At 37.8% G+C, this 25,208-nt stretch overlaps 1 protein-coding gene across 1 annotated transcript in view, besides 1 other annotated feature; it reads right to left on the bottom strand.

Annotated features, from left to right (window-relative positions):
* The window catches only part of IL1RAPL1 (interleukin 1 receptor accessory protein like 1), a 1,369,273-nt gene extending 1,344,065 nt beyond the window's left edge, over positions 1–25,208 (bottom strand). Inside the window, exon 1 of the mRNA NM_014271.4 lies at positions 24,607–25,208. The gene's annotated coding sequence lies outside the window, so the exon portion shown is untranslated. The remainder of the gene's footprint in view (positions 1–24,606) is intronic.
* Positions 20,348–21,547: an enhancer, noted in NCBI's record as "P300/CBP strongly-dependent group 1 enhancer chrX:28609224-28610423 (GRCh37/hg19 assembly coordinates)". NCBI's record gives its function as "activates an origin of replication core promoter dependent on BRD2, BRD4, P300/CBP, MED14 and CDK7 cofactors, with strong dependence on P300/CBP, by STARR-seq in HCT116 cells {active_cell/tissue: HCT116}" and the evidence as "EXISTENCE:reporter gene assay evidence [ECO:0000049][PMID:35650434]".

Raw genomic sequence — 25,208 nt, 5'->3', positions numbered from 1 at the left:
CTAAAAGCTGTTTGTAATAATAGTGTCCTTGCCTAGCCAATTTAAACAGGACTCCTTAACAATATCACCCTCATACTCAGGCAGAGAAACCTGTTTCCTGCCCCTCCCTTTAGGGGGTGCTACTCTGGCCCTATTCCTGCCATGCCTTAGCCATGGGACAAGGAGTCTAGGGGAACCAAGGAGGTGTGCCTGCCCAAAGCCATTGTCCTTTATCTTTCAGAACACTATCTGCCACCCCAAAATTTAAAACGCCCCGCCCGGGGTCCCTGGGACCACTTCTAGGGCCTCTATGGGCCTCTTCCATTGGTTTACTTTCTGAGGGCAGACACCAATGTTTGTGTGTGCACCCCTTTCTTTGAAAGAAGGTCAAGATACAGGTGTTTGTGAAGCAGGAGTGTGAGGATAGTAGATGGAACTTACATATAAGTAGGGTGTATTTGAGACCTCTCGCAGTGCAGGACAGAGCCAGGGTGAGAACAGCAGAGTGGCGGGTCATAGTTGGAAGGTATCTTTTTGTTTTCTTGCCCTGACCCCACAAATATTAGAAAGCCTGCTTCTTAGACTCTAAGGCATAGCTTTTAGGTTCTGCAAGCCATATATGGTTTCTGGTGCAATTCCTCAACTCTGCAGTTGTAGCATGAAGGCAGCCATAGATAATACCTAAATGAATGGCCATGGCTGTGTTCCAATAAAACTTTATTTAAAAAAACAGGTGGCTGGCTGGATTTGGGTCATGGGTAGTAGTTTATTGATACCTACGTTATCTGTGTTTCAGTGTCCTGGCCCTCATCATATTTTATCTTGTGTTCTACAGTTATCTGTTCCCCTCTGTCATCTCTCCTATGAGAAGCTTGGCTACATGGACAAATTGGGTGGTTATCCAAAGAACATATAAATTTACACCAAGAAACAAAATTAAAACTCTGGGATGCCCTTTGCAGTTTGAAAAACAGAGTACTAGTGGTGCTAATACAGCATTTGCCCAACGGCACATTTTGTGTTTAAAGCAGTATTAGGAAGCTCTGATTTACAGAATGGAAATGGCATGCAATTGTCACTTGTAACTATACTAACCATGTCATAATTTGTGGCATGATTTAGCCTTAAAATACACTCTTCTTATGCTGTGGTTTAGCAACATTTTAGTTAATAGGCAGTTATTAATTTTACACTTTGGGAAATATAAAGTCAAATAAGACACACCTTTATCCTCAAAATTTGAACCTTTAATGGAGTCAATTGTAAACTCCCTCGGGCAAGAGATTATGTGTGATGCCTCTTTGTACCTCCAGCACCTAACAAACAGTGCCCACATATAGCAGGAACTCAATAAATGATGGCTCTCCTACCGCGCTCTTGAAGTTTAGGTGAAAAAAGAACCTGGTGAAAATTCACTGAACCCTTAAGTCCTTGGGAACTGAACTTAACTTCCTCTGCAGCTAAGAAGTTTAAACCTTAAGATACTGATTTGCTCTTTTAATGTGTTAAATCATTTTCAACAAAGATTTGGTGGGGAAGCCAACCTCTTCCCTTCTCCACAAAGAATCTAAATGAGCTCTGTGGGAGGGAGAACACTAACTCAGGGATGCTTCCACCACCGTCAGTAACATTCTGAACTAACATGCAGTGGTGATGAGGGAACTGATTTATTTTGTGTTTTGGCATGCTCTGTCATCCTGTGGCATTGTTGAGGCACTCAAGATGTAGAGGGTACGCGCATTAGCTGGCACTGCTTGTCAAAGAGCTCACTCTGCCCTCTACATCCTGCTGCTCAATGTGAATTTTTCAGACCAACAATATCAACATCATGGTATCACCAGAGAGCTTATTAGAAATGCAGAATCTTGGCTCCACCGCAGACCTACTGAATTAAAATCCCTTAATGATCCATGTGCAATTCAAGTTTGAGCAACAGTGACTTCTAGGACTGTATACCTAATTCAGTTTCCTGTCTCGGAGCTGAGCTAGGCAGCAAATGCAACAAGGGTACAGAACTTTCTACGAACATCAGATTCTTACTAGGCAATTAAGGTAAAAAAATATTGGTGTTCTTTCATCTAGAACTATAAGGGACAAAATGATGCTAACTGCTACCGATATACTTTCCATGTATAAACTCCTCCTTTACTAGAAAGCACTGACAAAGTCAATTCTGCATGGATTTACTTCCATGCCTTAGCCCTTATTGGCACCGGAATGCATTCACCTTCACTGCTAGCCATGGCAGCATGCCCAGGTTCACCACTTATATGCCTACAGTAATACAGGATCACCAGCAACAAGATGCTGGAAATTGGCCAGTCTCCCAGCCTTTCCTCACAAAGTTACTTGGATGGGCGAGGTACAGGAGGGGAATGGGTAACAACAGGATGTCCCAGAAGCCTGCTGTACAGAAACTGAGAGAATGAAGTCGAGTAGGGGAAAAAAACCCAGACATGGTGAAAAACAATTTTGAACACTGTAATCAAGCCAAGTACTGTTGGGTAAAATCCTATCAGTGGGGAATGTACAACAACCAAGAATGTGCTGGCAGAACATAAAACTGACTGGCAGAGCTACAAACAGCTTCCAACTCTGCACATTGAGTTGGCACCCACAACTGTAGGTTGTGCAAAATCCACAAGTGAAGATCCGTTCATTCAGTCAATCAACTATTCATTAGGACTTATTATGACAAGACTTGTATGCAAGGCTAGTTTTTTCAGAGCTAAATAAATAGCATCTCAGGCCTTATGAAGATTCCATTCTAAAAAGTGAGAGAGACAAATGAAATAATTTCAGTAAAATAGGTGATTTAACAGGAATATGTTCTCTGATCATTGGGGTTGAGTGGGGTCGGGGGACAGGGAGGGTTATTGGATAACACATTCTACCAGAGACATTAAGGAAGGGTTAAAACAAGAGATATATCTGAGATGGGTATTAGAGGATGAGTAAGAGTTTTCTAGGCAGAAATTAATAGGAAGCATATATCAGAGAGGTAGGTATGTTGTGTGTGTGTGTGTGTGTGTGTGTGTGTGTGTGTAAGAACATGCATGCTGAGAAGTCATTTTGATCAAAGTGAGAAATGAAGCCAAAAAAGAACTCTGTTGAATCTGATTGTAAAAAAAAAAAAAATGCCTGCCAGGCTAACCCTCTTACAGATAATCCTGTAAGGACCAAAGATTTATGGGAAGATTTTAAACAAAAGAACAACAGGATCAGGTATAAATTTAGTCAAAGATTGATAGAGATCATTTTACATAGGTAACAGTAGTTGTCAGTGGTATAACCTCTGGGTCAAAAAACAACACCAATGATAATAACAACAGTGATCTTGGGGCTTTTTGTGGAACTTGGAGAGTTAGAAAGAAACAAGAGGGTAAAGGGAAAATGTATAATCAAATACGCCTCTCAAAGGGATATTGGATATTCCCGTATTCAAGCAGCTACTTTGTGCTAGACACTCAATAGCTTTTCTTGAAGCAATAATAAAGGAAGCCTTGTTCATCATTGCAGCTGGCTAGAGCTGCCCAAGTTACAATTCCCCCAAACTCAATCACTACATTTTTCCCTTTTTCTACATTAAGGGCTATTGCAATTTGCATTTTATATTAGATTCAAATTTTCAAATTAAAATATGTCACTTATTTAAAACATTCACATCTTAATGCCAGTCTGAATTTAATACCGTCCATTACATGTAACTTTATTTCATTCTTTAAAGAACAGGAGAAAAAAAACATTTATAGAAGTTGCATCATGCTAAATATCTTTTTTTTCCAAATCATTTAGCATTTTCTCTTTCTTCATTAAAATGCACATCTAAATTATGTCCATTTTTGGTCCTTTTAAATTTTGGTCTTAAAACTTGCCAATAAAATGAAAGTAAAATGTTATTTTAAAATGGGCTGTCTATCTCAAATTATTTAGACCTTTAATTGTCCTCATATGTTACATTTTTTAATAATTATGACACAATATATGTAATTTGACCACTGGTGTTCTGCCTGCAAAACTTAGAATTCAGCTGTACACATGTTGCAGCTACCCAAATCTCATGCTTTGATAGTAGCATTGCTGCAATAAAGTGGGTAATGAACATCAATGACTACTCAATCTCTGAAGATTAAGGTAAGTGGTAAAGATTAAGGTAAGGCATTTTCTTCAGTATAGAAAAGAAAGAAATGAGAACACAATGATTTAGAATTTATTGTAATCCAAATATCACATTAAGTGAAGTGGTCTTTCAAGAACAATCATCTAAAATAGTCTATAGTTTGAAAGGCCTGTCATTTCCCGTGGTCTGGCCATACAGAAAGTATCTCTAAATTTATGGCACTTTCAATGTGTACATTGCATCACTGGCTGCTACCAGCTCTGTACTCAAATATATATATAAAAGAACTGGATTTCAAATCAAAGAAGAGAATTCACTCACTTGGCATCTAAGTAGATCATGTGATTACCCTTACCACAGCTACCCACAATTTAAAGCCAGTCAACCTAAACGTTTTACATCTGTAGTCAAAGCAATGTACACAAGGCACTAAAGCTGTGTGTTATGATCCACTATAGTGGGAAAGCTAAGTCTTGACAGGTTCATAGCATCTTACACTTGTATAGACCAGTAGGCATCCAGGTCCATGTCATGCCCTCAGGAAAGAAACCTTGTCTATCCATCAAGTCACAAAATTTAATTTGGGAGATTAGAGCCTCTGCGTGCAAACTCTATAGGAAGCCAAAACTCCCGTGGAATTCTTTTCAGATACCCTCAGTTTCTGTACAGATGGACTCTGCTATGTGCGTGGTGAACATAGCTATTAAATATTACTCACTCTTAGGATTTTAATAGAAGGATCACTATCTATATAAACATGGCTTTTTCCTCAACCCACTAGAGATTCTTGAACCCACCCACCAGTAACTATTCTGAAATAGTCAAATTCCATCCACCCACAAGCAGCAGAGGAGTAACAAAGTAAAGTAGGCACGAGTGGCAATAAAAATGCTTGAAAAAAAGTGATTCTTTCTAAAATGTTAGAGGAAAACTTACAACATTTAGATCTAAGGTAGCATTCAGGCAATTACGTGGAGTTTGCCATTCTTCTCTTTTCCTCTCCTTCTTTCATTCCTCACCTTTTTTTCTGGTGGTTGAAAAATTAACGAACTTTAGTGGGAAGTGGTGACTACCTGACCATCCCAAACATGGAGAAAGGAAATTAAGCTGCATGATGAACATATGAGAGAACAAAAGAGCAATTTTAAAAAATGGCAATATATTTATTCACAAATTACCTGTTTAGTGAATTCTAGAATCTATATCTTTAAAATATTTTTAGTAGAAGAAGAAAATAATATAAGCTTATCATTCACCCCAAATGTAATGTAAGCCTCTGCATCTACAGTCAGATCTACAGAATAAACTATGGGCACATTCTGTCGTCGACTTTAATTACCCAAGGTTTGGCATGCAGTAAAACATTCGTAAATTCTCTGGAAAAGACTAAGCTATGCGAATGAAACATAGAAGAATAAATGTATTTGATTAGACTAAGCAACTAGATGATCAGGCAATAGACAAGATGAGAACATCTATTCAGTATTCAGAAATAATACTTTTTGTTTTGATTTACAAAAGACTTTCCGTTATAACTATTTTTCAGTATTTTCACAAATGAAGATGGAAAAAGAAAGTATTTATTTTCTATTGAATCCCGCACACTAAAACCTACATTTGTGATGCACATAAGAATACCTCATTACAATCATTTTTATTTTTTTCTATTTATAAAACATGGAAAAGAATCAAAAATGTTAAACATGTTGAACTCTCCAAGTTGTCATTGAAATCTACAAAAAGAAGAAAATTGGTTGTTCATTAAAATGCATAATGGGAATATCATTTTTTTGTTAGCTCTTTAATTCTTAGGGAGCTCTCAGGAATCTTATAAATCATCTTATTGTGATATTTTAAAAATTATCCTTATTAGAGAATATCATCTTATAGTGATATTTTTAAAATTATCCTTATTAGAGAATATTTGTCACCAACTTTTTAAATTATATGAAGTTTAATTGGTATAAAGTAAAAAAGAACAGTGTCAATTTATTTCACTGACATATGTGAACTGTCAGCTACTGCTGAATGCTAGCATATCTTTATCTTTACTAGATGAGCATGAAACAATAAGATATGCTTGTGTATACCTAGAGAAGATATTATATGCCTGTGGTATTGGTAAAACTTCAATGTGAGAAAAAGGGTTCATGCTGTAATACTTTTGATTTTTGGTGTATACCATGTGTGTTTACGCCATGAGACACTTCATAATGGCGACCATTTATTAAGCCCTTAATTTATGTCAGGCCCTGTGAAAAAATGCTCTAACTGCATTATCTTATTTAAACCTTCACAATAGTAACACTAGGTAAGAAAATTATCTTTATTTTACAACAATATTTATTTTACCAAATTTACATATAGCATTCTCAGTGCTTGGGATACTTCAGTGAACTAAAAGGACAAAGATCTTTGCTCTTGTGGAGCTTAAACTCTAGCAATAATCAATAAGAATAATAAATAACTTATAAAAAAGTTACATGGTAAGAAGTACCTAAAAGAATTAGAAAGTAGAACCAGATAAGGAGATCAGGAGTGTGGAGGTGAGTGTATTGAAATTTTAGAGGGTGTGGTCGGGGTAGGTCTCATGGAGAAGATGACAGGTAAGCCAAAAATGATGGAAGTGAGGAAGTTAGCCTTGAGACTTCTGGGTAAATAATGCTCCAAACAAAGAGAACAGCCAGTGAAAAGGTCCTATGGCAAGAACTTACCTGTCACCTTCAAAGAACAGCAAGTTGAGAGTGGTGAGAAATGAGAGAGCTAGAAAAGAGAGAATGAGTCGGGGAAATGAAATCAAGGAAGTAATGTAGGCGAATTTCCTTAGGCCATTATAAGAACTTTACTTTTACTCCAAGTAAAATCAGCAACCTTTGCAGGGATTTGAAAAGTAGAGTGACACAACCTGTCCATTTTCAAAAGGCAACCGTAGCTGCTATATTGAGAGCAGACTGTAGAAAACAATAACAGAGGCATAGAGTCAGTTTGGCGGTTTGCAGTAATTTAGAAAAGAGATGATGGAGGGTTCCACAGGATAATAGCAGTAGAGGTGATGAGAAGTGGTTAAATTCTAGATCTGGGTAAAGATAGTACCAACAAGGCTTGATGACTGGATGTGGTTTGTGAGAGAGGGAGAGAAATGATGAGTGATTTCAAGGTTTTGGGTCTGAACAAATACAAGGATGAAACTGACATCAATCGAGATGGGAAAATTGCGAACAAAGTAGATTTGGGAGGGAAAAAAGAAGTTTAGTTTTGGACAAAGTAAGTGACAAATGTCAAATAGCTGATGATGTCAAATAAGTGGTTAGATATATGTGTTTGGAAATCAGAAAAGTTACCAAGGTAGATATAAATTTAAGAGGTGGTGACAAAAAGGATACTGATAGCCATGAGAGTGAGTGAATGAAATCACTAAGGGGTGAGTGTAGACTGAGAAGACAGCCAAGAGTTAAACCATGGAGCATTTTCCCAGCAAAGAATTAAAAGGAGCAAAAAAGTTAAACCAAGAGATTGTGCTGTCCCCAAAGCCAGGTAAAGAAAATGTACTGAGGAGGAGTGATCCATTGTGTAAGTGTTGCCCACAAGTCAAGTATGATCCAAATAAACAAGGACAAGGACTGATCCATTGTGCAATTGTTACCCACAGGTCAAGTATGATAAAGATGGAATATTGACCATTGGGTACAGGGAGAAAACTAAAGAATATTCCTGTTATATTTTAATATAACATGTTAAAATATTAAAATAAGGATTAGCATTTATTATGTAGCTATGATTTGTCAAGCACTGCACGATATGCTTAACAAATACCTTTTTTTTTTTTTTTTTTTTTGAGTCTCGCTCTGTCGCCAACCTGGAGTGCAATGGTGCAATCTCGGCTCACTGCAACCTCCGCCTCCCGGGTTCAAGTGATTCTCCTGCCTCAGCCTCCCAAGTAGCTGGGACTACAGGTGCGTGCCACCACACCCAGCACATTTTTGTATTTTTAGCAGAGACAGGGTTTCACCATGTTGGCCAGGATGGTCTCGATCTCTTGACCTCGTGATCCACCCGCCTCGGCCTCCCAAAGTGCTGGGATTACAGGTATGAGCCACCACACCTGGCCTACAAATACAATTTTTACTTTTTCCAGTAATCCTAAAGGTAGGTATTCTTTTCTCTCCAGAGATCTGGAAACTGAAACTCTGAAACATAAGTAACCTATCCAAGGTTACACAGCTAGTAAATGTCAAAGCCAAAATTGGAACTCACACTTGCCTTGATCCAAATGTGAATTCTAGTATAACATGATGTCTTCTGCAATTGGGAGAAGGTATATTGATACTATGAAAGAGATAAAAATGAAATTAGTGTTTTTTTAAAGCTTCTTCTTAATGGATACTTATATATAGGGAAAAGTAGGGAAAAAAGCTAAGAAGCTAAAACAATGAGAACTTTTATCACCTTGTAATTTATAAAATATATAGTGCCATCTAACTGTAGGCTTCAGTCTATCTTGGCATTGCTCACCTTAAAAACATACTGTCAGAATAATGGTCCTTAAGACATCGCTTTCTGCATTATTGATGCAACCAAAATCTTTGGCTATAGGTTCTAAGCTATCAGCTTGGCATTCTGGCATTCTGTCAACAGACCTGGCAATTTAGAGCATGTGATATACCTGTACCCATCCCCATGAGGGATGGAATAAACGCTAACTTTACTATACCAGTAACATTGCATCATGAACAACACCTTTACAATGCAAATGTCATATATCTACCAAGCTAGGCTTAGTGTGTTTTTAAATCAAACTCTCTTTTCTCCTATTATCTTGCTTAGACCAGGACACCTCGGGAGATTCTTCTTTCTTTTCTTTCTTTCTCCCTTTCTTCTTCCTTTCTTTCCTTCCTTTGATAATTATTGAACTAAATTGCACAATGTGACAGGCACTCTCCTGGGCACCAAAGATATGTGGTGAACCAGATAAATGAGGTCATATCCTCTCAGCCTTATACTAAAGTTAGGAAGACACAAAGAAATACATTTAAAAATAATAAATTTGATGAGAAAAATACATAGCTAGTGGTAGCTTGGGAGCATATATTTTTAAGAAAACAGTCTTCTCTGTGACAGAATACTCTTAGCATTCAGAAACTAAAGTTATTCACGTGAGCATTTGGGATTCAAACGAAGTGGGAGTTGCTGAAACTGAACACAGAAGTATGTCACAGGCAAAATTCATTTACCTCACAGTATTTCCGCAAGCCACATAATCCTTGGTTCAAGCTCATTATATTCAATAGTCAGGGTCCTGTCCTATATAGTTCTTTTTTGATTGTATAATGAACACTTTTAAAATTAATACCAGCTTGTTGATAATGATTATGATGGAGACAATGGTGATGATATTAGTCACACAAATATGTTGCCTACAACTCCAGTATGATCCAAATAAACAAGGACTCACACAAATATGTTTTCTAAGAGACTGTCCTCAGGTATGAAATTATTTCCAATTACCTTTCAATAGTCTCAAAAAGTAAATTTGTGTGTATACAAATTGCACATTTCTGGTACTGTAATTCTTGGAGTGGAAAGGATTTAATCATAATAACTAAGTCTGCTTAACATCTTTGACTTAAGTAATGATTCAATGAAGCAATACTAAACCTTTAATTTTCATAATATCTTTCAGGTTCCCAAAACTAGACTGAAGCCACATGATGAGGCTTTATTAAATATATTATTTTTATACTTTTGTAATCATAGCCAATAGTAACATTAACACTAATATTAAAAATAATAAGATTGGGCTAGCAGGAGTACCCAAATTAATAAAAGATGAATTTAGACTTACTAATATTTGAATCTTTGCTACCAAAACATTGGAAGAGTCCAAAGAAGATGCTTAGAACAATAACCCACATCTTCTCTGATTACAAATTTAAGAAATTAAAACTAATTTTCACTTTGGAAACAGGAAATAGTAACTCTTAACTTGCACATATAGATGAGGTTTAAATAGCGTCTGATGCACAGTCTGTTCCAATAGCCGCCACTCATCTCCCATACCACCTACATAGCTCTTGAGTAAAAAATGCAAAAGAACATAACTTACCTACTGTCAGGGATGTGGCATTGTGTGGCAGAGTAAAAAAACCATTGCTTCAAATCTATGCGGACAAAAATAAAAGTGTGCTGTGCACAAATAGCATGATGCAATCAGTAAAAATGGAACAATTTTTGAGCCTGGAGCCTTGAAGTTATATTTAATGAAAAAACAGCTAGTGAATATATAGAAATGTTGGACTCTCCTTAATAAGCTTCACAATTTGTATTTGAAACAATAAAATATATAGGTCCATACACACAAGTAGAGTATTGTGATGGAAAAGGAGTGTCACCTTGATTGAATTCTTGGTCTTTTAAAAATACCATGAACCTTTCTTTTTTTTTTTTTTTTTTGAGATGGAGTCTCGTTCTGTTGCCCAGGCTGGAGTGCAGTGGTGCAATTTCGGCTCACTGTAACCTCCGCCTCCCAGGTTCAAGCGATTCTCCTGCCTCAGCCTCCCAAGTAGCTGGGATTACAGGCGTGCGCCACCACGTCTGGCTAATTTTTATATTTTTAGTAGAGACGGGGTTTCACCATGTTGACCAGGCTGATCTCGAACTTCTGACCTTAGGTGATCCACTCACCTTGGCCTCCCAAAGTGCTGGGATTCCAGGCATGAACCACCATACCTGGCCAACTTTTTTTTTTATTATTATTATTCCAAAAAAACCAAGCCAAAGCCAGAGAAGGAATCTAACAAATGCTTTTAAAGCAAGCTAGGTGCTGGTAGCAAAGATTACTATTTTTTTTTAAGACAGATCTTTTAAAATGCTTAACAATGTGCATCCTCAGTTGCTGTGGCAATGAGTAAATTCCTCATTCTAGCTTTGTGCTTGAATTAAGCATGGAGTAGGTGGATCATCTGGAAGTATTTGTTGAACTGAATTGAGTTGACCATCTAGTCAATGTTAGGTCAAGTGAGGGAAAAAATTGCCAAAGTGGTTATTTATTAAAGTGAATATCAGTTAATGGATAATTTTTTGGTAGTTGAGAGATTTTTTGTTTGCTTGTATGTTTTGTTTTGTTTTGTTTTGAGATGGAGTCTTGCTCTGTCACTCAGGCTAGAGTGCAGTGGCATGATCTCAGCTCACTGCAACCTCTGCCTCCCAGGTTCAAGCAATTCTCCTGCCTCAGCCTCTAGTTAGAGTAGCTGGTACTACAGGCACGCGCCACCACGCCCAGCTAATTATTGTATTTTTTTAGTAAAGACAGGGTTTCACCATGTTGGCCAGGATGGTCTCGATCTCTTTACCTCATGATCCGCCCACCTCAGCCTCCCAAAGTGCTGGGATTACAGGCATGAGCCACCGTGCCTGGCCGAGAGATGTTTATATCTGTAAAGGTATGTACTTAGTTCATCCCTATTCAATTTTTCTATGATTTAATGAATGGTTGCCCATTTAGACACAGCCAGTACTTTAAAAACTTACTGGCAAAATTAAGTGTCAGTGTATTTAACTTGATTGAAAATCTTTATAGGATAAAAATAGAAGGTGCTCCTATTACCTCACTAGGGTTGAAGAAAGCATTTTAAAAATCTAAGTAATGTCACTTCCCTTGCATTAAGGAAGGAAATTAATATTTCCACATAATATAAAAGTGAATAGTGTTATATGAAATGCTTCCTTTCAGTGAAAATTGAACTCTAGGATATATTATTTCGATGATTTCAAATTCATCGTATTCAAAACTAGTTCCCCTCCAGTCCAAATCATAGACTGGCTAATGCTAATGAAACACTGCTTTCACTGTCTGTTCTGTACCAGTAAATCTACATTCGACTTATTCCACTACCACTCAGTTCATCAAGTCTGTGCCTTCCGCCAACTTTCAATATTCCTCTGTAGCCTGGTCCTGTACAACCCAAACAATTGTCTTATTATCCTTGGAATTCAGAAAACTTGGCCCCACTCTACTCTGTTCCATTTCCTTGCCCCTTCCTTGACCCCCACCCCCAAATCCCCTCCTTAAACTCAAAATCAGGCACATGAACCACCGAGGAAAAAAAAAAAGGTCCTATGTAAATTCTCCAGGCATGAATTTTCCACTTTTTCCTCTCTCTCTCTGGAAGTCCAGGACACATAGAACGTGCTCATTAGATATTTGTGGCCTGGTAACTTACAACAGAGTAACTATAATGTGACTTGAACTACATTCCTGAGAAAATCACATTCTCTGAAGCAAAACTACATAGAGCAAGGCCTTATACTCCATTGTATTTAGTTTCTTTATCTCTTTAAACAAATGTTTACGATTTCACAGCATTTCCTCAGTAATTTCATATGGTATTATTGCATCATGCCTCAAGGGGTGAGAGAAAAAATACGATCTTGTCAGAGACTCCAAATAACTTTCATTCCCCTCTTAATGGCCTGTATACCCATCCTGCCGTTGGTGGCTCACAGCCGAGTCCCTCATCGGGATTTACCCTCAGCTGCAAGTAACTGTCTTCCCAACATTATGCTCCTTCCTGTGGGGCAGCCCCCCGCCAGTCACTGCCTGACGTGAAAACAGAAAGCCCCAACCCCCTTGACTCAATGTGAGACAATTTTGAAGGACCATCAAATCTTTAGAACTTCTCATTGGAACTGCTGGGGCCCCAGCTGCAACCACATTGCAGTCAGTTTCTCTGCCTCAGAAACAACTAAAACTTTTGTATGCAATTCTTCATCTCGGAGTCTGTTTCCAGGGAGCCCAATTGAACACATATGCCTTTCCCACTGGTCCATAAGCTTTAGATGGCAAGAACTGTCTTGAGCATCTACAGCCTGTGTTAAGCACCATTCTTACAACAGATAGGGCCCTCAAGTAGTATTTCTCATTCACTCACATGAAGGAGTTCATTAAAATACATATGGGAAGGGGCAATTCTGATCACGTAATAGGACTGAAGGACAGTGGTTAGTAGGGACCCACAATGAGCCACAATTGCTGCATGATAATCAACTGAGACAGTGGCAGTGTGAGGATTTCAGCATAGTAGGGGCCTACCCTGTGCCATTGTGGTTGGAAATGACTTATTACTTGAAAGTTGAAGCTGAGTTGGAGGGGCACTTTGGAAAACATCAAGAAAGCATCCAATATCCATTGTAACTTATGACGCCAGGAGGAAAGTAATACTGACAGAGACTGAGAGGTTTCTGCTGAAGCCCTCCCAAGGAACATCTTGGTGATCCTACTGACCTCAATTTTTTTTTTTTTTTTTTGAGATGGAGTCTCGCTCTGTCACCCAGGCTGGAGTGCAATGGTGCATGGTGCAATCTCGGCTCACTGCAACCTCCACCTCCCAGGTTCAAGCGATTCTCCTGCCTCAGCCTCCCGAGTAGCCGGCTGGGATCACAAGAACCTGCCAATGTGCCCAGCTAATTTTTGTATTTTTAGTAGAGACGGGATTTCTCCATGTTGGCCAGGCTGGTCTTGAACTGCTGAACTCAGGCTGTTTCCCTTGCCTCGGCCTCCCAAAGTGCTGGGGTTACAGGCATGAGCCACCATGCCTGGCCCTCAAATGTTTTTGAAAGTACAAATTTCTCGGCTGGGTGCGGTGGCTCATGCCTGTAATCCCAGCACTTTGGGAGGCCAAGGTGGGTGGATCTCCTGAAGTCAGGAGTTTGAGACCAGCCTGGCCGACATGGTGAAACCCCGTCTCTACTAAAAATACAAAATTAGCCGGGTGTGGTGGCGCACACCTGTAATCCCAGCTACTCGGGAGGCTGAGGGAGGAGATTTGCTTGAACCCGGGAGGCAGAGGTTGCAGTGAGCCAAGATTGCACCATTGCACTCCAGCCTGGGCAAAAAAGAGCGAAACTCCATCTCAAAAAAAAAAAAAAAAACCTACAAATTTCTATACTGCATTCCAAACACCGAATCAGGATCCTCAGGGATAGGGGAGTGAGTTTTGACAACAGCTAGACTGTGAGACTTGTTCTTTCACCTGAATCCTAAGGATGATGTACATAACATTTAGTTTGTGCCTAAGTAAATTGCATTTTTTCTCATTTTGTCTTCAACGTTTGGCTATTTTCCAGCTTACTACATCTTCCAATATAGAATGATCAGATACAGTATGGGAAAAAAAACTATACCTACTGGTTTCTTTTCTTCCACTTATTAGAAGTGTAGATAAAGTATTTGATAAGAAAAATAATTTAAACTAAACTAGCATGGGGATTTTTTATTACTAGGAGGCTCACTTTCCAATTTCCAGCTACAATTCAAAATTGTTATAATTATTGGTAGTTAGCAAAAGAGTTCACACTTGTTAGAAATAAATCCTATTATCTTATTACTGAATGTACATTCTACTCGAAAGCAATATTCTTATTCCATATGATCTTACTATAAAACCATTTTGAAATCTATATTTCCACCTTGGCATTACATTATATAAAGCACTTTCCTTTTTTCTTTTTTCCCAGTTGCTTCCTTCAACTTCTTTCTTCCAGATGAATTGTCACTTTAGAGTCACTTTGCTGTTGCCATCACAGTAAAGAAATAAACTTTAAACATTATCCAGTGTACTCATTAAAGAGTTACTTAAATCTTAGCATTGTTGCTACAGTGTGTGGCAACTTTCTAATACTACCAAGCAAGGATAGTTTGAATGGATCAGCCCCATTACAGAATCTTGCCTTCTGCTTGAAAAAAGTAAAAGCTAATGTTAAACTCTGGCTTCTGTATTTATCCAGCACTGGTAGCAGTGGTTTGTTTGCTTATTTATTTATTTATTTGAACAGAGTTTCACTCTTGTTGCCCAGGCTTAAGTGCAATGGTGTGATCTCGGCTCATTGCAGCCTCTGCCTCCCAGGTTCAAGCAATTCTCCTGCCTCAGCCTCCTAAGTAGCTGGGATTACAGACATGTGCCACCATGCCCGGCTAATTTTGTATTTTTAGTAGAGACGGGGTTTCACCATGCTGGTCAGGCTGGTCTCGAACTCCTGACCTCCGGTGATCCGCCTGCCTCCGCCTCCCAAAGTGCTGGGATTACAGGCGTGAAGCCACTGCACCCAGCAGTTTCTTCTTTGAAAGGAAGAAAGAAAGAGGAAAATGAAGAGAGCCAGTGATGCCTGTTTGAGGCCTGGGGTTCTACATGAGAAAATTGGAATAAGCGTGAAACTCAGGAGTCACTGGGAAATTCACACAACTTGAAATCAATGGTAACCTGGAGATACACACTCTTAATTCATCCCCCTTCTTCCTAAAGCATAAATCTGAGCGGGTCATGAAATGTTCTGTTTTCCTTAAGCTCATGCAATACCATTCCATTGGCTCCTGCTTGCCAGACATGAAGGCTCAGGGCTCCAGCCTTATCTTCTTACATTTCATATCATATACCCCCTTCTCTGGGGAAACAAGAACATTGGATCTTCCTTAACCATGCTCCATTTGGTCCTCCTTACAGTATATTTTTGATCTCCCCTCTATTTAGAAGGTCACATCTCCATACCCATGTTAACTCCTTCAAAGTCCAATACAAAGGCTGCCTCCTTCAGCAAGCCTCACCTAATCCCTCTACGTGCATGTGTCCTGAACGTTTCTTGAGCCCATAGCATACTTGGCATCTCTCTTAGAAGTATGTATGGTAGACTATCTTGAATTATAATAACAGGTGGCCTTCCATATCTGTGGATCCAAGCAACCATGGATCAGGAATATTTTTTAAAAACAATTTAAAAAGAACAACAAAATAATTAAAAATAATACAAATAAAAATACAATGTAACAACTATTTACATAGCATTTACACTGTATTAGGTATAAGTAATCTTCAGATAATTTATACAGGAGGATGTACATAGGTCATATGCAAATACGAGACCATTTTATATTAGGGACTCGAGCATCTGTGGATTTTGGTGTCCACAAGGGGTCCTGGAACCAATCCCCATGGACACCAAGGGATGTCGGTATATGTGATTTTGTTTAGTAGTCATATCCCTAACTAAACCATTTTTGGGCCCAGACACATGACATCAGTCATCTCTGTAGGGAGGGACCTTTGCAGTCCCTCTTGCATCCCCTTGAACAGTGAAGGCACTTAAATACCTATGATAGAGGTGGAAGGAAGGGGGAGGAAAGGAAGAAGAAGGGGAGGGAGGGAAGGAAGGAAGGGAGGGAGGGAGACAGGCAGGCAGGTGATTTCTTCTCCTTCAGTTCATTTGTAGGTTTTAAACTACCTAATATTAATTCTCTCTCCTTTATTACTCAATTTTCCTTTTTTTACTTTTTTAAATCAGAAGCTTTTGTCTCTACGTATAATGTAGCATGAGTTTTGGAGAACACAGATCTAAAACTGACCTGTTATCCGTAAGTGTTTAAGCGTTTGCTTGTGTAATGATTTACTGATGACCTACTATATGCTGTGCACAATGTTGGGCCCTGGAAATACAAGACCAGCAGGCACTTGCCTCCTAGAGCTAAGCTAAACCATTCACTCATTGAGAAGAGCACACCCACTGACATAAGCGGCTTGCTCTGTGGCTGTGTTATTAAGGGCCCTGTAGGAGAACCTCGACAAGAAAAAACAGCAGAGTCAAAAACCCCTAGAGATCCCTTGAATGCATTTACTCTGCACACTGTGGAGCTGGGTGCCTCTTGAGTACCATTCAGGAGTTCTGTCATGGTGAGAACAATTAGGAGCTTTAATAGGGGTATCCAAAAACCAAACACTGAGAGCTACCAGATCCATTTGTTACATTCAAATTTTCTCCCTTGGCCACATGAAGCTTTGTTTACACAAAATACTTGATACCATTCTAACTCTCTCAGTTTTTCCATTTTTACCACTGTATTTAGCTCTCCTGACTGTGTCTCTTCTGAAATAAAGTTGGCAGAGAGGTTGTAAGCATCATAGTGTTCATAGCCAGTGTCATTTCTTCATACAGGTATGCTACCAGCTCCCTACCCAGTAACTCTAGAGGGCACTGCGGGATTCAGCCTGAACAAAAGTATGTCCTCCACAGCCCTGTCTCCACCTTATCATCTAAAATGCAGTCCTTTCAAGCTATTTTTCGGGGTCAGAAGTTAATGGCATCTTTTCTAGAAATGTCACTATTATAATACAAAGGGATAAAGCCTGTTATTCCAAACTTTCCTCTTTAGCATATTAACGATGATTCATTTGTCAAACATTTCAACAAAAATCATGTATGTGTGTGGATACACATATTAATGCAGTCATTAGGATATGAGGATACACACACACACACCAGCTGTATCTTGTTCATTTAGTAGTAGTTATATGATTGTAGCTTGGCAAACTTGATAAAATATTACTGTCTTCATTATTCCAAAATTGGTTCACTATTGTTTATGTAAGCAGACTGACCCTGTTGATGAAGAAATGAAATATGAAATTCAATATCGTCAAAGTGGGATAAAGTGTAGCTAGAAGATATTTTGATAGGACCCCTTAGTGGAATCCCCTGGAAGCAAGAAGGTAGCATGCAGCACTGAGACAAAGATGGCCAGGGATGTTCAGGAAAGTCCAGAAAGTGGAGAGGCTCCAAAGAAGAGCAATTCCCTGCAGGTGGAAAGATACAAAGCTAATGGGAAAAGCACAGTATGGAAAAGACAAGAAGACCCACCAGTGACCTATGTTCTCAACTCTCCTTTGTATTGTGTCTCCAGGGATCAAATGAGGTCAAAAATCAGGTGTGCGTAAAGGAAAAATAAAGTCCACAGATTCTGAGTGCAGAAGTCAGACGACTGATCACAAATCGGTAAAGTAAGCTAGAGGCCAAAGGATTCGATATGCCAACATTAGCTGTACTAATAAAAAATAATGCTGTATGCCAGGACATATTGCTATATAACTAGAACACCCAGCTGAGGGCTTATATGAAGGAACTGAAATCATGCATCATGAGAGAGCCAACAAATTGTAAGATCTTGGAAACTTCACTTCATTTCTCTGGTTTGCAAATTCCTTGTTTAAAATCACATAATGGGGCATCCCTTACTCCTATAATGCATATAATTCTATTAGGTTTTTATGAGATTTTGATCACCTTTGGCTTTTATAATAATTCATTTTTATTTTGGCTACAATAAAAACAATGTTTATTTTTTAAAAAAGCAATTATTTTCCAAAATCAACCAATTTTAAATTACAACTGTTGAATCCTAAAACTCGAATGGGAATATTTTGGAACTCTAAATGTACATCCTCAGAAAATTATATACTCTTAAGTCCATCTATACCGAAATTCAACTCCTTTGATCCACAAACCACCACCATACGCACTTACCTTTCATTTTCTCTGTAAGATGAACATGATTAATATGTATATGTAATGCAAGTATTTTGCCTCTAGACATATGGATCTTTTATTTACTACAGCTGCAGGAGTTACTCCAAGGAATCTAGAATCTATATAAACACCAAACTTTCTATGTAGATAGAATAAACCATGCATTTCAAAGATATAAGTAGACTCTGTTGTGACTATACATAAATTCATTTTTAAAGAGTTATTATATTCATAATAATTTACTATTATTATCATGCATTTTCTCAATTAATGGATACTGAAAGTATAACTATGACTAAGTGGACTTCCAGTGAATTTTTTTAATTAAAAAGGGAACTTTGCACCAGAAAATGATGAAGATCACTATACCAAGTCATACATATTAATCTAAAACATCGATAAGGTAACTCGTTTTGATTAGGTCATAAGAAGATAAACTACTATGAATAATTTTATGATTATCCATATGCTGATTTATTATAATTATAATTCAAATAAAGTATAAGATACCTAATAAACATCGAAAGAGTAAAAGTCTATAATTATATGATTACAATCCACAATCCATTTCAATTTTTCAGTAAGTCCAAATTCTACACACAATATCCTGACGTAGTGTTACAACGTACAATCTAGTTTAACTCTTAAATTTATGTTCACAGAGGTGTAGCTCCTGTAAGAACAAAGCAGCTCATTTAGTGCCATTTATCGTATTTGATATATATGAGCATAGTAACTATAACAAACCATTTGAATAGCTTGTGATAAAAAAGATTGCTTTTAATATTGTGATATTAAAATGGGAAAGAGCAAAATTTTCAGAAGTAAAATTTTCTTTTAGTTCTCTTTCTTTTCTTTCTCCCTTTGCTTTATTCACAGTTCAGTGCCTGGGATTTTCAGATCATGTGATAAGAAAGCAACATCAAGCCACCTAGTCATCCCTTCTCTGTAGCTAAAAGACAGGAGTTTTAGAGTTTGGGCACCTGAATATTGTGTCTACACAAGGATACCAAAAAGCATGTCAATTAAGGATCTTTCCTAGTAAACCAATGGTCAGGATAAGCATACTTAATGGATAAGTATGTCCACTGAGCCATGTGGTTGGACTGTAATAGAATGTTATATGCAGTATAAGACACTCCAGGGTGGCATTTTCTGGGTGAAAATTAAAAGCATATTTGTAAGGTGATTAGCTGAATTTGTCAAATAAACAAGCCTGTCTACATTCATACAATATTCTTTCATAAATCTGCCAGAGCAAATCTAAAGTATTGCCATAAGACATAAAGAACATGCATTTTTTAAATATAGGAAACCAAGAAAATGCTTGCTATTAATAGGCATCAATGAAGTCAGATAAACATGCATAATGAAATTCATCTGAAACAAAAATATATTGGGAATCCTTGAAAAGAAAAGCAAGACACTGGGAAGTTACGAAGAGGAGGTTGCTCTACAACATGAAAATTCTTTATTTTAAGCCCAGGACTACTAATTTATTACAGGGTTAATTTTGCACTTTCCAATTCTATTTTAACCAAAATACAAAAACTTACTCTGTAACCTGATTATTCAGTCACTGAAAAACATACATGGAAGCTCATATCACTAAACTATCCTCTTTGCATATATGTAAATATCATTCTGTTAAGATACAAGAACATTAAAGAGATGCAGTTTTAGTAGTGACACATGGGGGATTGCCTCCCCCTAAAGAAAGTTAGTAATTATTACAACTAGAAAATTCCAAACAGACCGGGTATCTTTATATTCTCATTTTCTCTATTACACTTGGTATTCAAACTCATTATGCTTTTGTTAATATACTGAAAGACAAGAGTCACTTTCTGGTCAATGTACTCAGTCTGTGAAGTAGCATCAAGTTTGTGTACATTTGTTTGTGTGCTCTTGGTAGCAGAAACAGAAACTCCTAAGTACTCAGAAGCATTTTTTAAAAAGCAATCTGCAGAAAACACTCTCACACATAAAACCCTTAGTTACCACTGTTTGAATGTTATTCAAAAGCAACTATTTTTTTAATTACTTAAGACAACTATATTCCCATATGAGTACTTCTGGAAAAAACTGAGTACTGAGTGAAAGTTAACCAACAAAGCTTTTAATTTGTCTTTGTTGGTTAATCACTGAACAGTATTATGTACAGCTAACTGTAATTGCTACTAGAAAGCACCTATTCAGATTTACAATAAGGGTGTAAAAAACATGCACAGCTAAATTAATAAGACTTAAGGGAATCCTTAATAATAATTCCATATATTTCTAAGGCATAGGATGGTGGTAAGTACTTAGACACATATTATCTCCTTTCTGTAGAGCAATGTGCAACTATTTATTTTTTTAAAAAATGATTCTCTGGAACACTGAGAAATCAAATGTGGTGTCAGAGGTCACAAGGCTAGTAATTGACAGAGCCGGAAGTACAGTTTCGAGCCCTCTGACTCAGCCCGGAATTCTACAATGCCTTGATGTCTCACAGAACTGGACTCTCCTCTTTGAGATTCCCGATAAACCTAATGGAAATAGGGTTGGAATTTAGTAATAAAAAGGCTGACGCGACCTTACCTATAGCTGCCCAACCGGTACAATTATAATTATGCTTTATAACTTGAGCATCACCAGAAAACTTGCTACTTTTAAATCTCAATAATCAACACTTGTTTTGTTGCTACAAATTATAGAGTAGTCTGCTTTATAAAAACACAAGATTTGCCAAACACCAAACATCATATCTGTTGTAAGTCAAAGTACATCCCAAACATTTCAGTGTGTAACAAACTAACAAATTCTGAAATATAAATCTTCAAAGTTCAACTGTTCTTTAAAATGTTTTATCTAATAGCCATTTTAAAAGTAATACTGATTTGTTCACATATGTTGCAAACATAATGAAAATTCAATTTAAAATTTTCTCTAGTTTTAGGAATACCGTGATTACTTATCTGCTAAATCTCCTTACTTTGCTGAAGCAACTGGTCAGGAAGCAAAATTGATAGCTTTCATATTCATAAATGGTATTTCTTTTTTTCCCAAATATTTTCTAACCTAACTACATGACTGCGGCTGACAAAATGGAAATAAAATAGAAAATAGATGTTACATTTCAAATTACCCACTGCCATCATGTTTAAATGCTTTCCTATTAGACAAAGCTTTTTATTACTAATGTGTAGGATACTTAAGAAAAATGCCATAACCTGCCTTAGTTACATAATCTTCCTAAAGAAAGTAACAGCTTATAAAGTGCCATTAACATGATTGAAACTATCTTTCCTAATAGAAGTATATGCAGTCTTCAAGTAAGGAGTTAGCAATTACATATGTATATTTGCTTCACAACCAGTGTCTTTTTGTACAGAATCTTTTTCCATCCTGCTATTATTTCCATCTCCTACTGAGCTTAGAAAACCTATGCCCTGCTTGGTAACATATGTGTGGCTTACGTCAGAAAACAACTGAGGAAGTCATTTATAAAATATTGAAAGAAGGAGTAGGAAAAATCATTACAGACTATATTTGTGCACATAGTTGGAAACCAACAGCCTGGAAGCAGCTGTTGTGCTACCCTGACCCCTGAAGGAAGGAATCAGGAGTTAAATTCACATTCAATTTCCTACACAATATGAACGCCAAACCTCCCAATCCACTGGCACAATACATCAATGTTTGTGCATGTCCTGCAGAAGTATGAAAGTCACCTCAAATATCAGACCTTAGAATTTCATTCCCCAATCCCACCATTCTGACTCAGGGTGAGCAAATCTTTTCAAAGTTACTTAGAGGGTGTCTAGATTCTGCATCTTACTCCTTAGGACTGGAAGGAAATGGAATATGAGAAATAAAAGAAAAACAGAAAAAAATCATCTCATCTCCCTGACAGAAAAGTCGTTTAGCCCTCTTTGTAAAATAAATGTAAAGAGAAATAGGAAATAGCACAACTAGATAATAAGGTGATTCAACTGAACAGGGTTAGGATTTCAGAAGTTTCATTTTTTGTGAATATGTGATCTATTGAGGAGAAAACAGATCCTAAAACAGTAGAAGGCCAAAAGGACCTGATGTGTATCTTCTTTAAAAAAAATCACAACTCCAGATAAAACATGAGGGAAAATGACATTTTATTCTGCAGTATTCCCTTCTCTGCACAGTGAGCACAGTACATTTATCTCATATGATGGTAAAAGTCTTTGGCAGCTGCAACCTGTCTTTTAAGCCATTCAATAAGTGAAACTTGAACATGGATTGCTCTTTTTTTCTGGGATTTGTGTTAATAATGAATCCAGTGCCATTTAATTTGTAATTTAACAGGGTACTGTTACCTTTGAATGCTTTTACTTCTCTTTTCCCAGAAGGTTAAAATGGCCCAGAAAGAGATTGTCATGGTTAAGATAAAGGGACAAAACAGTCATTTCTGACACGCTGTGGAAGCAATCATCATTTTTATGAGGGAACCACCAGGCTGAAATCTGCATCAAGCTCTACCAGGAAAAATGCAAGAAAGGACCCTAAATATTCATTCCGTTCACAGTCATCATTTCAATGAATTTAACTTTCCATTCAGTTGGGGTCATATATTTCAATCCTAGGGTAAAGAACTATGACCTTGGCTGGAATCATCAGTCCCAGTTACTCAATGGGGCACTTCTGAAACATCGCAGACTCATTTTGACTCTCCACGGGTGTGGCTAAAATTGGTCCTGTCCAGCCCTAAAGCTTATATGATCTGATGTCCCTCCGAAACTCACTATGAGAAAACTCATGCAAAATTTGCCATAGAGATCAAGGTTTACAGGACCCTTGGAGCTAATCTCTCTCTGCCCTCCTCCTCTGTTAGCTGTTACAAGCCTTCAAAAGTTAACAGGGTGATGGAGCCTCTCTCTATACAATCATCTCATCTCACTATCGTTGACTGAAACTCGCTGATGTAATGAAGTTACATAATCACCGATTATGCACGACTTCCATCCATCTTCCTACATATCCACATATCTTCTCCCCTCCCCTTTGGATCAATCTACCAGGTGAGATTTATAACATATGTAAATGCTCCACTCTCTCATCACAGGCACTGAATATGGAACTTTAGCATTGCAGTACAGTGCACTGAACCACGTCATCAATATTGATTTCTTTATCCCATTTCCCAGGCAGAATATGCTTAAACATCCTTAGTGTTCTAGTCTCTAACTTTTTACCGAAAGGGTAAAATAGATGTAGCAGACAGGACACATCTTCAACTTAAGGTTAGGGGAAGTATGTAATTAATTGCCTGCATTTCCCAAGCTGGCTGCATTGCAATAAAAGGACGGTCTCTGCTTTCAGACCTTCGACTCCCCTGCACGTGGGTCTCAGCTTCAGCTATTTAGGATATTGGGTAAATAATTATATTATTGGGCAATTGAACTTGAGAAAGAAAGCACTGTGGTGATATTTAAGATAATGTTGCCTTATTCTTCTCTATGTTAGCCATCATTTTTAGCTTTTTCTTTTCTTTTCCTTTTTTCACTCTGAGTGATAATCCAGTAGATAAAAAAGTAGCCCAGGGCGCTTAATAATCTCCAGTAACCACAACCTAGAGAACAATTAACGATGATTATCACCTTAAAGTTTAAGAACTTGACAAGTGGGATGTCCCTGGTCCCATTGCGGCTGTGAAATGCAGCAGAATGCTGCACTGAGTTGAAAACATATTTCTTTTAATGCATAGAGAGTAGCTCGTTTCATTTTAAATGGGGCTCTTCACTAAGTGTTTCTTTTACTGCTGCTACCCCTTCCAGAACGCAGGGGCCACAAATATTACATTCAAACAAAGAGTGTCTACCCAGAATTAATTCAAGACACTCTTCCATATCAAAATAATTGGGGGAGAGAGTGATACTTTGATTTTCAATTGCACTCAGAATACGGGCACACATACATATACACACACACGCACACACACATACACACACACACACACACACACACACACACACACACACACATATCAACACACCCAACTGCAGTTATTCCATTCAGTGCCAATAACGGCCACATCACAGCCATCAATGCGATGCAGCAATCATTCAAGTCACCCATTCCCATTACAAATGCCCAAGTTTGCTCATGCCACTGATGGGTTTGCATATATAAAATGACCTTACCCACAACAGTCTTCCAAATTATTCTCCTCTGGATATTAGTCGGTAAGGTAATTGCTGGTCATCACAATGCGTATTCAGAAAAATCCACGTTTTACTCCTGTGTTCTTTTTCTTGTTTTTGCTAGCAATTAATATTGTGAACAAGATTCCCATTCACAAATGCCAAGTTCACCATAAAAGCAGATAATTCCATACAGATCTTCCCTACAAGACTGTCTCCAGTTAGTTCTCAAAGTGCCCGATTGTTTGCTGAAGATACAATCCAGGTGCAGAGCAGGAAAAAAAAAAACAGACTAGGAGAAAAATGAAGAGGCAGATAGAAAAGGAGAGACTGAGAGAGGAGAGAGCAGAAAAAGAGAGGGGAAAATAAGAATAATTCTTAAAAAATAAGGAAGGAAAAAAGCCGATAAGTGAGAAGTCTGCGAGCTCTATGACAAGAATTGGAGTGTTGCTTGCAAATCTTCTGAGTACATGCAGCCTTTCAAATCCTCCTGGTCCCCAAGTAAAATTTCCAGATCCGGGATGCAGCCATAAGAAAGAATCCTATGTATATTTCACAAGTATCCCGCAATAACAGATCCGACGGGGTTTTCCTTGTACAGT

This window comes from Homo sapiens, chromosome X (genome assembly GCF_000001405.40).
Source record: "Homo sapiens chromosome X, GRCh38.p14 Primary Assembly".
Taxonomy (NCBI): Eukaryota; Metazoa; Chordata; class Mammalia; order Primates; family Hominidae; genus Homo; species Homo sapiens.
Note: the sequence above shows the minus strand (reverse complement) of the source record. Positions and strands in the feature narration are given on the sequence as shown.